We start from the raw sequence: 14,348 nt of genomic DNA, 5'->3' as shown, positions 1-14,348 counted from the left end.
TTCGTATTGTTTTTAGTGATTCAAACATATAATTTTCATTTTTTACTGGTACACTGATGTCCAAATAACTCTGACCTTCCACCCGACTCCATCGTGTTTCATAGTAATTTTGAAACCAGATTGTTAAGGAACACAAACAAACATTTTTGTTGGGATTTTGATTAGGTTGCACTGAATATATAGATGGATCTGAGGAAATTACCATCTTTTCAATCTTGAGTTTTTCTCTTCATGAACACAATGTCTTTTCTCCATTTATTCAGGCCTTTTATAGCTTTTAACTAGGTTTTATTGTTTTCTTTATAGTCTTTGCCAATTCCATTTTTGGTAAATTTTTAGGTACTTTAGAGTTTATTACCCCTATTAATGGCCTCCTTTTGTGATAACATTTTCTGTTTGGTTTCACTTCATGCATGGGAAGGTTACTGATTTTCACATGGTGAAATTGTATCCGGTCAAACAGAAGAACCCTGCTTAAGTTTTAATAGTTTGTGGCTTCTCTAGGTAGTTGACCACATCTTTATCTGCCAATAATGCGAACTTTCCCTCTTTTTATCTTTTACGCTTCTTCTATCTTCTGCTTTTACTGTGTTGGCTAGCACCTAGATAGGCTTACGTGCTAGAACTGAAAGCAAGTATCATGTATCTTAAATGTTCAAGCTTCTAAGTTTTTAATATTAAATTTAAATGTTTGCTAATATACATCTGGTAAATAACAATTATAAAGGTAAAGAGGATGCTTTCTATTTTTACTCTAAGTGTTTTTTTTGGGGGGGGGGGATCATGAATGGGTGTTGTTTTATTGTACGCTTTTCAATATCGATTTTTTTTTGAAATGTCTCTTAAAATGTCCTGAATTCACTGATAAACTTTTGATAATATATCAAAAGCTTAACACCAGCTCTACATTACTAGGATAAGTTTTTCATGATGTGTAATTCTTTTAATATACTGGGTTTTATTAGACAGCTTTTTATTGTCATTTTTGCATCAGTGTTCAAATAAGCAAGACTTGGCCTATACATTTCCATTCTGGTGCTAAGCCTTGTTTGTTTAAATCAACATTGCATTAAATCTTCTGTGTGTTACTGTTCATATGTAGCCTTGGCCAGGACTTGTGGGCCCTAACAGGTGGAAAACTCATTCTTTTATTCAGTTCTTAGTGATCACTAACGTGTGTTGTACTTCATGTGCCATGTTCTCTTATAGGTATTTACATGTACTGACTTAGTCCTCACAGTAACCCTATGGTATGGGTACCAGTATTATCTCCATTTCAGGTTGAATAAATAAGGCACATTCTGAGGTTGAATAAATAAGGCACATTCAGGTGAAGTAACTGGCCAAGATCGCATAGTGAGACTAGAGTTTAAAATTGAGCTGATACTTGTAAATGGCTCAGAACAGAGATTGGCACACACCACATACCATGTGTTCACTAAATGTTATTTTACTATGCTTATTTATAGGCTTAAACATTTATTAGTATAGAGTTATAAAGTCTTAAATGCTTATTTTCTTTCTTTTAAAATATGTATTATTTTTAGCTTTTTATTATAGAAAATGTTAAACAGACACCAAAGCCCAATAGTACAGTAGCATTCATGTAGTCATCATTCAGTTATAATGATCAACAGCTCATGGCCATTCTCATTTCATTTCTGTTTCGTCCCCAATATATATTGAAGCAAATCTCAGGTGTTTTAGTCATAATTTAGTATCAAACTCTAAAAGATAAGCATTTAAAGAAAACACACTATCACACCTAAGCAAATTAACAACTTTCGAATTTTTTTTTTTTTTTTTGTGACGGAGTATCACCCTGTCGCCCAGGCTGGAGTGCAATGGTGCAATCTTGGTTCACTGCAACCTCTGCCTCCCAGGTTCAAACGATTCTCCTGCCTCAGCCTCCCGAGTAGCTGGGATTACTGGCGCCTGCCACCATGTCCAGCTAATTTTTGTATTTTTAGTAGAGACGGGGTTTCGCCATGTTGGCCAGGCTGGTCTTGAACTCCTGACCTGGTGATCTGCCCGCCTTGGCCTCCCAAAGTGCTGGGATTATAGGTGTGAGTCACCGTGCCCGGCCAATTCTTGAATGTTTTTAATGTAGCTACAGATATACGGTAGGTTTTTTCCTTCATCATATTTCCAAAACTGTATCTCTTACTAAACTATTTATTGCTTAAATTTTACTATCGCCTTCTATTTGCTTTTAATTCCTTGTACTTTTTGTTGATTTCTCTGGTGCTTTTTCTGGCTTGAGCTGAATGCTTGGTTTGTTTATTTTTAACCTTTCTAATATGTAGAGTTTACACAGGCTGTTTTTTTTTTTTTTTTTAAGTACAGTTTGGCTCCATTTCACCAGGTTTTGAAATGCAGTGCCTTCATCATCATTTAGTTTTAGACACTGTGAAATACTTATTTTGGTTACATCTTTGATGCATGAATTATTTATAAGCAATCCTAGATGTAAGGATTTCAGTTTCTAGTTGTTTCTAGTTATAAGGATTTGGGATGTTATTTCACTGGTGGTTTCTAATGTAAGTGGGTTGTAATCAATGAATGTAGCCTTGTATGGTATCTGTTTTGGGGGAATGTATTGAAATTCCATTTATGGCCTATGTATATAAATAAACCATTTGTGTTTGAAGAGACTCTAGGTCTCTCTGTGCAGTCTCTCTTGGGTGCGAACTTCTCTATATCACTATTAGATCACGCTTGTTAACTGTGGTATTCAAATCTCTCTGAATGCTACTGATCAAATGTATCCTGGTCGCTCAGTTTAAGAACTGAATACTTTATTCTGTTTTTAGAAAACCTCAGCTGTTATTTCTTCCTCTTTAACCTGTATTTTATTGCCCCATGGATAACTTTTTAGACATATGTTAGAACTTCTGTATGTGACTTCCACATTCTAGTTTCATTTCAGTTCTACACTCCACTAGTATCCTATCTTTTAAGTTTTTAGTTTCATGAATTAATGTATTTTCTCATTCTTAGGCCGAATTTGTTCCTATTTCATAATAAATGTTCTTCATTTCATAAAATCTTCCTTTAGATCTCTGAGGATATATTTTAATACCCTATTATGATAGCTCTATTAACTCTGATTTATTGTGGTTTTTGGTTCTTGTTCAGCATGTTGTCTTCCCTCAGATTCTAAATTGTACTGAGTTGACCTCATTTTAGCATGGTATTAAAAAAAAGTCATTTGTACTGATTTTGTTTAGGAGGGGAAGAATTTAACATTTGTTTAATCTGTTCTAGTGAAATGGTTAAACTTAAGAATCTCCCCTTTTTTCTTAGCTCTTTCAAAGCTATCTGTGGCCAGCCATATAGAAAAGTCAGGTAACATGTATGTTTTTACGGAGTATGCATGCACTCCATGTGAGATTATTCTCACCTTTCCATGGGTTGCCTTTCCTGTATTTAGCCACGGTTAAATAAGCAGTAAAATTAAAAGTATTTATACAATATGGCTTAAACATGACAAGAAACTCGCAAGTCAAATCAATCAAATGCACAGATACTTTTAAATATCTTCTGCATACCAAACATAATGACAGAGCAAAGACAAAAAGGGCCATTCTCTTTCAAAAGTTTAGGAACTAAGTGGGATTAAAGAATGCTCATCGAGTTTCATGGATTTGCATTTAAAACTACAGGGACTTGGTGCAAAAGTGGTATAAGTAATCTGTAACCTAGGTAAAATGACAGTAGTATATAAATTCACTGGCTTTGATATTTTGTTTGCCACTTCCTCTAAGGGCTCCATTAAAAGTAATGCTTATTTAACTAGTGATGTTAAGAAAAAAACCCTATTTTTTTCATCTTTCCCTGCCTTTATTTACTTCAAAGATTTTACAAAAGAAATGAAAGTACTTTAAGCTCCTGAAGTACAGTAATGTTTTTTTTTAAGTGCTCTGTCTATATTCATTTTAAAACACATTGTGATTCCTTGTATAGTCAGGATAATACCTGTGAGCATTTAACCATTTTCACTATTTCATATATTTACTTATTATTGTAGCTTTTAATACGTTGTTTTTAAAATCATAACCAAGATTGCTATCCAGAGTTATAACCCTGACACTGTGAAGAAATGCAGCTTCCTTTTGAAATCAGTAGGGCAGAAAGGAAAACAAAAAAATTGAAGCTGGAATAAGTATCAATCTTAGGGAAGAAGACAACATGAAAGCCTTCCATAAGGCTCTCAATAAAAGCGAAAATACTGGAATTAGTTATGATTTGTGGGTGTCTTTGCAGCCTTTGCTATTGAAAACAGTCCATATGCCTTGTGTCACTTAAAGAATATCTCAGCAGTCTTTAGACTCTTTGATCTCAGGGCCAAATTAAAATAAAAAATTATTGAGGACCTCCAGGGGATTTGGGCTGTATATGTCAATATTTACTGTATTAGAAATTAAAACTGAGAAAATGTTAAAATACGATTAGCCCTAAAAGTGATGTTATCACATGTCATGTACTTCTGGAAAACTCTTTTTAATTGTCCACTCATGACAGAATGGGTATGAATAAGGCAGATAGTATTTTTATATTATTATGCTATCCAGTAGGGTGATACATGTATCTCCAGAGTGAGTAATTAAGTATTTGCAAAGGGAACTCTTCTTCAGTCTGTGAGTGAGTAGAGTAATTTGGGTGAGGTCTGATCTACAGCTGTCTTATAAGACTATATGAGAACCATGCCTATGTTCTAAATATCTATGGGAACCCAGCTGTTTTTAAAATTTGACAATAATGATGTAGATCAGCCTCTGAGCAGAATAATCTTGAACAGTTGACAATAGAATGCTGAGAATGAAGCAGTTTGTCTTTAAGCTGTGCCTGTCCTCAAATAGAAGCAGTTTACTTTTTGGTTAGGAATTTTATTCTTAGCTCACTTATCTAGAAATGTCATCCACCTGGGACACACCTGAGACCCCCCCCCCCCAACAACCACCTGCCACCCCCAAAAGTAGGTGTTAAAAAGATCTCTATGAAGACCAAATAGATGTCACAACATTTGCACACTAAAAGTTCAACTCTCTGCCTCACAGATCAAATGCGTGCAGGCCTTCTCTCCAAGCCTGTTGACTCCTGCTTTTGACAGAGCTTAAAAACACTTTGAAAAGAAGAATTTAAGCAGCCAAAATGACTTTGAACAATAAATGAGACAAAAAGCAAGGCTTTCTGGGGACAATTTGTTATAGGGGTACATATACTTAATAGTTTGTAAGTTACCACAATTTAAAACACATACCCGTTCGTGCAAATACTTGTCTAGTACCCACGCTGTCCCAGGCATTGGGTTTCCCCCGGTGGAGACTGGGATGAATAAATTACCATTGCTGGCCTCAGCAATGTGAGAGTGACAGTCATGTATACAAATAATTATGGTGTGACATGATAAGCAGGAATGACATTTATCTGGTATGGTTGTCATGTTAATGATTTTGCTTAGCACCTCTGGGATGAATTAGAGTCTCAGAGAGTGACTTTTGAACTGTGTATTGAATGAAAGGGTGCTCAGAGGAAAGAGGATTTGCAGGGGCAAGGTGGCATGCAGGAAGTACTTCAGTGGCAGATTGGGATGACAACTGGAAATGTAAACTTTACACTAGATTGTAAAAGATTTTCAAAAGTCTACTGAAAGAATCGATGGCACCAAGAAGACTTGGTGGCCAATCAGACTTGGAGGTGAGGGAGACTCAAAAATAACTCTGATATGTTTCTGGTCTGTACAGTTAAGTTGATTAGGGGCAGGCAGTGAAGATGAGTTTGGTTTTAGCTATGCTGAATGTGACGTGTTTGTAGCCCATCAGGAAGTGATGTTTAGAGGTACAGAAAGTAGGTAAGATGGAAACTGAAAAGGAACTGGTGTTCAGAGTATCTCACTAGAGCTAGCAACTGTTCAAAAATTTTAAAGTTTCTCTTCAATAATTTCAATGGAATTAACTTATCCCCTACAGATAGTAGATAAATGAATTAATACATTTCTACTGGTGGCTTTTAAGGCATCTCACCTATATGATATTTGCAGATCTACTGGTTTAGGATTAATTTGCTCTTTTTGTATACAGGCCTAAGAATGAGGCCTGTATACATCTGATTAATTCTGGAGGGGATATATTTTCAGCATGTGACATAAAAATCACTAAATAAGACAAATATACTGAAAAGTTGAATGAAGATAAGTGAATCAAACACTTCTGTTTAGTATTTAACTGGTGGTTATTTTTCTTTTCCTCTTTCCTTACCCTAAAATATAAGATTAGGTGCATTACTGACTTCAGGACAAAACACCTCGGAGTACTACCGTAACAGCAAAATCAGTCATATAACTGGGCAGTAACGTTAGAATTTGATGACAAGAGATGATAAGAGCTGGTAAAACCCAGGAATTCTAGAAAATGCCCTAACTTTATGCTGTAACTGTATACCACAAAGTTTTAGTTCAGTAGCAACTCCCCAGTTATTTTGAGGCTGTCTGTGCTATTTAAACACTGTTGATGGTTGTCACATTTCCATTGATCTTATGCTATTTAATTAATGTTTCAACTGTAATGCTTTTCAAATCTTAATTTTTCACCTTACTAATCAAGAGTCAGGCCAACATTTTGAAAGACTGTAAAATTTTTTGGAAGCAGCTAGTACACATTACTTCAAGTAGGAGAGTACTATGATTTGAGGTGAAGGTGCTGAGCTCTTGTGTACATCATGATACAGCATTAGTGCCAGGAAAAAAAGCCTTCACAATAAGCTTCACTTTCAAATTTATTAATACTTTATGCTACTTGGGTAGCTAGTTGGTAATTTAATGAACATAATGAATGCTGCTGACCAAGAGCTACCTTGGAACTGAAATAAAAATGGGAATGTATAATTGATTCCATATTGGCTAAAGGTTTGTGATTTGAAACGATTCAATTATACAACTGACTTACAGGCCATGAAGTTTGGCTCCAAATATCTATATACAATAAGATATATCTATGACCCTTTCCTTCTTATTAAAGTGGAAAGGTGCTGGGCTGGGATACCATTGTGACACTTAGAAGCTTTGAGACCAGGTGCAAGTTATTTTTCTCTTTGAGATTCATATTCTTTAAATCCCAAAAGACAGTACTGAAGACTTTAAAACACATCATGAACTTTAAATATTATCATTAATACTAGTAGTTTTATCTCTACTCATCAACTAAGTCATATTTTTAAAGGTTATTTCCCTAACAAGTGTTTGAAATTCAGTGTAAGGATTTTTAAAAAGTATTTAATTAAGGTAAACAGTTATTAATTTACTCATTTGTTACTAACACATAACACCTCTAAATGCATGCAGATCTACCTCTGTAGGCTAAGATATAATACTTTCCCCTTTCTAGAACATATACTCTAGAAGAACCTGGAGTCTTGGAAGAGTTTGACATATTAAAATGTAAACAGAGCAACAACACTTTGTACATGTCCACAGTAGAAATAACATGGAGTTGTCACAAGCTGAGGTTGTTGATAGGTTTTAAAATTCTGGCTTCCTTTTCTACTGCTTTCAACAAGAAATTAAACAAAAAAACGGTCTACATTTTAAAATTAAGAAACAGATACATACTCATCATGAACAATGGTGGGACCATCCCTTGTTAAGGCCTCTTCCTTGATGACGTTGATAAGTTCAAAGGTACTACTTATGGGGGCATCTGGGTTAGGCCATTTGGGACACTGAAAGTGCCGAACTTCTAAGACATAGTCATCCTGTAACCAATACAACATGGGTCAAATCCCTTCCTTTATTTCACATATCTACAATCTAATGACTAGAACTTGCTCCTGAGAAAGCCATGTGTTATAGGTAACTCTCAACAATGTTGTGTTAACCAAACCACAGCTGGAAAGAAGAAAAATACCAGGAAGGTTTTTTTTTTTTGTTTTTTTGTTTTTTAAAAAAAGCATGGCTAGGCATAGTGGTTCATGCCTGTAATTCAGTACTTTGGGAGGCCAAGGTGGGAGGATTGCTTGAGGCCAGGAGTTCAAGACCCACCTGGGCAACACAGGGAGATCTGTCTCTAAAAAAATTAAAAAAAAAAAAAAATTAACTAGTCATATGGTACATGCCTATAGTCTTTGCTATTCGGGAGGCTGATGTGAAAGGATCGCTTGAGCCCAGGAGTTTGGGGTTACACTGAGCTTTGATGATGCCACTGTGAGTGAGACCTTGTCTCAAAACAAACAACCAAGTAGGTCATGCTAGTGAAACAATTCATTTGGCTTAGTCAAAAATTTCAAGTGACAATAAATTATTAAAGACCTTATATCCTACTCTATTTTCTTATTTATAAAATTAAAGGAAAACAAGGAAGGGGCTCATCCTTTAAATTACTAATATAAGAGCCCCCCCATGCTTACTCATCCCACAAGAAGGCAGCAAAATATTTACTTAAAAAAACTTAGTATTATCATCTGTGCAACACATTGCAAAGCTTACATTTCTGATGGCAAAGAAAATATTGAGTTCTAGTATATTGTTTTTATAATTAGGTCAACAGACCTATTTGTATGCATGCTGAATCAGAGGAACTGTTACATTTCATCTAGCCAGCTGGAAAAAGCAAATATTTGAAGGAAGAAAAACGGAAAATGTACATATTTAAAATTAAGTCTTACTCAAATGCCTGAGCCTGGCTTGAGGGTGGTAAATTATTTCATTATTACTTAGAATGATGATCCAGGGCCCAGGTATGGCTATTAGTGAGGAACTGAGGTTTAGGTTACCTGTGTAGCTTCAAGGATAAAGTCATGGATGATAATTTGTTCTTCATTAGAGAGGCACAGTCTGTCTTTGCTGATAAGGGTGACGGTAAAGGCCTCACAGTTCATGGATTCTTCTCGACTTGGCCAGTACACAAACTCATCTTCTGCCTTTGGAATCCAAAAAAAAAAAAAGCCTCTGCAGTTCTGTCAAGGATTTGTTTTCTATTTCTTGCATACGGATTTTGTCATTTCCCATCCCTCTCAAGCCATCGTTTAAACTGAATTCATAAGAGTTATATGTTCCCATCGAACTACACCAAGTTGAATGGTTATTGTATTCTATTGTAAAATATATTTTGATAATCATTTTCTAGCATCTCTCACCTGTTAGTGTAGCAACCTGAAACACTCCCACTATAGGGGACTTATTACAGTTGAGAAGTATTCTGTAATATTGACATAGTAAAAAAGAAAGCAGGATCTAGGTCAGTTAATTTTGTTATTTCACAATTGCTTAAGCAATCAAGACATGCTAATTATTTCCTGTGGATTATGTTAATAATTCTGTAGTTGAACTGCATTTTGCAAAGGACTTTCATAAACACTGTAAGTTTTCTTGTATATTTTCAGTATGATGTTGGATACATACAGATAGTAAAAAGGTTACTATAATTAGGAGCAAATTAACATACCCATCATCTCACTTTCATTTTTGTGGCAGGAACAGCTAAAATGTACTCAATATTGGCATGATTCCCAAATACAGTGCAATTTTATTACCTGTAGTCCTCATGTTGGATATGAGATCTCTAAACTTGTTCTTCCTCATCTGTTGTTTTGTATCCTCTTGATTTATTTTACATCTTCCCATTTCCTCCCTACCCCACAAATTTCTTTATCCATTTATCTGTTGATGGAAACTTAGGTTGTTTCCGTATCTTGGCGATTGCTAATAATGCTGCAATGAACGGGAGTGCAAATATCTTTACGAGGTGTTGATTTCACTTCCTTTGGGTATATGCCCACAAGAAGGACTGCTGGGTCTTATGGTAGTTCTATTTTTAATTTATTTAGAAACCTCCAGACAGTTTTCCATCATGGCTCTAGCAATCTACATTCCCACCAACAGTGTGTGAGAGTTTTCTTTGTTATCCTCACCAACATTTGGTATCTTTTGATTGTTTTTAATAGCTATCCTAATGGGTGTGGGGTATCTTGACTTACATTTCCCTGAAAATTAATGAGATTGAGCATCTTTTCATATACCTCTTGGCCATCTTTATGTCTTCCTTGGAGAAATGTCTATTCAGGTCTTTTGCCCATATTTAAATCAGGTATTTCATGATTCTACTACTGAGTTGTATGAGTTCTGTACAAATTTTGTATATTAACCCTGAGGAGATTTTGTATCACCTGTCTTTACAGATGAGGACACAAGGCCTTGGGGAGGGGGCCCATAAATTATCTAAAATCACTCTGCTAATAAATGGTAAGGGATAGAACTTTTTTGGAAGATTGTGTGTGAGTAAGTAGGTTGGCTGTATGTACAAGGCAGTTTTAAAAGAAATCTGTCAATGTTATATTTCAAGAGGGGATAACATAGAAAGTCTTTCAGCCTTGAATCAGGCAAGCTTTAAATGTTCATCCATTTTAAGATTAAAAATAGATATGCAGGCTTGGTCCTTGAATTCTATCCCTAAAAACTATGGATGCCTAAGAGAAAGTTAATTGTTGCATAGGTTGGAGACTGTGAGAAATATGATTATGATGTACACCACGTATCCTAATCAATCAGCTCCAATGGCAAACTGTAGTTTTCCTGTAGTATATAGGTTTCTACGGGCATTTTCCTGAGGATGCCTAGCTACTATCATTGAAGTCAGAAATAATTCTGAATAATGTTCAAAACAAAGAAGGCTTTGTTTAATCTTACATTGTTGCATTAGAAATGAGCCAACGTCCAATGAGACTTATCACCCTTTCAAGTTTCAATATAGCTTATTGCCAAGTACATTTTTATTTTTAAAGCTCAGCATAAGGGGAAACAGATTAGCAACTGGGTTTAGTCTATACAAAAGAAGTCTGTAACTGTCGTGGGTTTTAATAGGTTTTGTCCAAGGACACAGATATTAAAGACATAAGGTAATGAACAGGGCATCTAAATGTAACAAATATGCACAGATTAAGCATAGGATTTATGAGTGGATGTGATCCTGGGTAAATTAATCTGAACCTTAATTTCCAGATCTGAAAAGTGGGAATAAAAACTACTTACTTTAAAGAAATACTATGATGATAACATGAATAGTAAATTAACTAGCTTAAAGGCTACCAAAGGGATTTGAGTTATGGTAGAAGAAAGGTAGAAAAATGGTTCATCTTGAAAGTCTAAGAAAAATAAATGCTGCTTCTTAATTCAGCAGGCACACTGGTCTCATGACTGTTTTGCTTACAAGTATATTTATAGGTCAAAGATATCTGGGCATCTATATCCGTACTTTGTGAGTTAGGAAGCAGTGACTTTTGGGCTCCTTACAGAATTATGACCTGGTAAAGGTATAGCAGTAATAATACAACAAACAAAAAGAACTCAGAGATATCAATCTTTAGGAAAAACTGTGCAATGATGAAACTCTCCATCTCAGAACTGAGAGGTCAGTTGTATATGATTCTAATCTAGCCTTCTGAGGCCTCAGAGAGACACTGAGATGCCATGTTCCTATATCCTCAGTGTCTGCAGAACATGTATCCACTTATTTGGTCCAGTCTCCCTCCAGCCTCCCCATACAAATGAGCTGCTGGGTAGATGCTTTATGGTGATTGCCCTCTGTTAAGTGACAATAACAAAATACTGATTCATCCAACAAATGAACGTTTTAACAACCCTAAGTGCCTCCAATTTCCACATGCCAAACAGAATAGACCCTATTGCCAGCTAATTTGAAAATTTACACTCCAGCTTTTAGTTTAAGATTCTCAACTTTGTTGCCATTCCATCATACAGAAGCAGTCTTGGTATCCTGAAGCTGGAGCAAAATGCGACAAAGTGAAGAAGTTCCTACTGACTGGGCACACAGTCAAATGCATGTCACCAAGACTGGGGGTTCAGTCACATGCTGTTCTTCCTTGATTAAAAAACTCATTAATCTGACTATCATAAAGGCAGATCCTCACTGTTTTTTGTTTTTACCTCATGGGTTCACATGTCCACACAGTAACTTTTATAGACCCAGCTAATTCCGAAACTTAAGTATCCACAAGATCTAAGCAGAAACATTTAAGTCTGTTTTATAAACTTGCTCACCCTTCTGTATAGTTTAGAGACTGAAATAGAGAAGGACTAAGGGAGGGAAAAGTAGTAGCAGCTCAGTCCTAAAGACCTTTAAGTGGGAACAAAATAGCCTATCCCTGCAGTAGACCTGACTTGCCTATGGAGTGGGAAAAAAAAATTCACTATTAGTACTTTTGATACAATATTTTGGGGTAAGACATACAGTAAAATGATTATATAAGCATGGTCTCTGGAGACAGATGACTCAGGTTAAAATCCTGGCTCCAGTTACTTGTGTGTGCTCTCTTGAGCAAGTTTGTTCTCAGTTTTCTCAGCTATTACATGAGATAATAATAGTATGTATGTCTTAAAATTGTTGAGAATTAAACAAGTTAATGCATGTAAACACAGTTACATACTCAGTACCTGTAAGCTACAATTATTTACTTTTCAAAAGTGACATACAGCAGGGAAGAGGTTGGTGTAGTCATATATTAATGAGGTTACTAAAAACATTTTCAAAACCTTCTACCACACCGCCACAGACAGTACAATTGAAGGGTGATATCAATAGCATCAGAGACTCAAGTAATGGAACTGATAGGGACAGTATTGTGAGACTATGAAAGGAATCTCCACAGACTTCAAGATGAGAATTTAAAAATTTTAAATTCCCTCCCTAGCATATATGGATACTATAGCCCTATGGCAAAGTATCAAAGTAATTTATGCTTGTAGCCTCATGGGCTCATTAATATATAGCAGATGTGCTTTACTTACCAAGCTCTGGTTGTCTGGCAGCATGACAATGATCTGTGCGTTATGATCCCAAATCATTCGCCAGAAATCTTTCGTAGTATGTGGCAGAGGATGCTGAGTTATAATAAATTCATTGCTCCTATAATAGCCCTTCAGTTGGGAAGACAAAAAAAATCAGTGAATATGAGTGTTTTATTCTAACTTTGTGGTAGTAAAATATATTCATGAAATAAGATAGCACTGTTTTGACTACACTAAAATAATTGAGAAAGGCATTCGGTACATTTGGCTAATTTTTAGATGTACTTCTGCTAGCACTGTGCAGACAATTTTCTCTCCATGTGCAGTTCACTTCTAGTTAACCCTGCTGTTTTCACTTAAGGGAAATTTCAACATTTATTCAAAGACTAGATGTGTGAAATTAACAATAAAATTAATTCCTTAAGAAGCATTCTGCTTAATTTAAGCATTTTTGTACCAGCACTGATTAGGTATCTTTTGTTAAAAGTTTCAAGATACAGAAATCTCTATACTTTTCATATTACACATTGAGAAATTATTTCAAAAATGACATCAGTCACACAGGTGGTATCTGCTCTTTAACACCTTTCAGTTTAGTTGACTTTATTTATAATTAACTGTTGACTCTCACCATGATATAAGAAGCATTAATGTAATCTGTTCCTTTCATTCCAGGCAATGGTGCAAGACCCACTCGAGCACGCTCAGCTATCATATGGAAAAAACAAAAACACCACATTTGCCTTATTATACACACAGAACCAACAGCTCTTTCTGAGATTTGCTTGATGAATAACATATCCTCCTGGCTTCCCTTTCTAAGACTTATCTATATTTTTAAACAAGCTAAAGTGTTATCAGCTGAGGCAGAATGTAAAATGAAATTTTGCTGCACATACCCAGAAGGACACAGGCATTGTAGGAATACAGTTTTACTGTGGGAGAGATTTTTACAGCAGATCAATAACAGAATACTTTATATGGACACAACAGAGGATTTTAGATAACTTTTGACTCTAGTTTGTTATTCCTACAATTATACCAACATATACTTTGTCCTTTTACCAACCCCTTTCTCCATGTCTTTCTGCTCATGATGGTCTTAGAAAAGAGTGGCCTTTTTCATTAGAGATAAATCTCCCAAATGATCACCCATGTCTATGCCTACAGCACACAGACAGCATCCTCTGCAATGTCCTTAGCTATTTATACAAAGGTCACCACCAATCAACAGTGCCTTGATCTCAATAGCCACAGTAACTGAATAAGGTAGTTCTAGTTGTACAGATTAATCCAGGATTCTAAGTTTTAGAGGAATGTTAATGCCACAGCAATAACAGCTTTATTATTATTTTTTATGTTATAATATGGTAGAAGTAACCCAATTCTTGCATTCCAAGGTGAAATGAAGCTGTATTCTACGTCAGATAGATGGAGCACTTGCTGACACTGACAACCACCTCTCCCAGTTTCATTAAACTACCTTAGTTGAATAAGCATAACATTTTCCCTTTTGGTAGTACCAGGTAAGAGGCTGGTATAAAGTCAT

General features: G+C 35.6%; 1 protein-coding gene and 1 long non-coding RNA gene across 10 annotated transcripts in view; one reads left to right on the top strand and one right to left on the bottom strand.

Annotated features, from left to right (window-relative positions):
- PTPRG (protein tyrosine phosphatase receptor type G) overlaps positions 1–14,348 on the bottom strand; it is a 736,039-nt gene that overhangs the window by 7,131 nt on the left and 714,560 nt on the right. For all 7 annotated transcript variants that reach the window (XM_017006961.2, XM_017006963.2, NM_002841.4 and 4 more), the window contains 4 exons: positions 13,431–13,507; positions 12,800–12,928; positions 8,770–8,916; positions 7,610–7,752 (listed from right to left, as the gene is read on the bottom strand). In XM_017006961.2, the coding sequence (XP_016862450.1) occupies positions 7,610–7,752; positions 8,770–8,916; positions 12,800–12,928; positions 13,431–13,507 (496 nt within the window). The remainder of the gene's footprint in view (positions 1–7,609; positions 7,753–8,769; positions 8,917–12,799; positions 12,929–13,430; positions 13,508–14,348) is intronic.
- Positions 1–14,348, top strand: part of PTPRG-AS1 (PTPRG antisense RNA 1) — a 57,129-nt gene that overhangs the window by 28,469 nt on the left and 14,312 nt on the right. The gene's annotated exons all lie outside the window — the stretch shown is intronic.

The sequence above is a fragment of the Homo sapiens genome, chromosome 3 (genome assembly GCF_000001405.40).
Source record: "Homo sapiens chromosome 3, GRCh38.p14 Primary Assembly".
Taxonomy (NCBI): Eukaryota; Metazoa; Chordata; class Mammalia; order Primates; family Hominidae; genus Homo; species Homo sapiens.
Note: the sequence above shows the minus strand (reverse complement) of the source record. Positions and strands in the feature narration are given on the sequence as shown.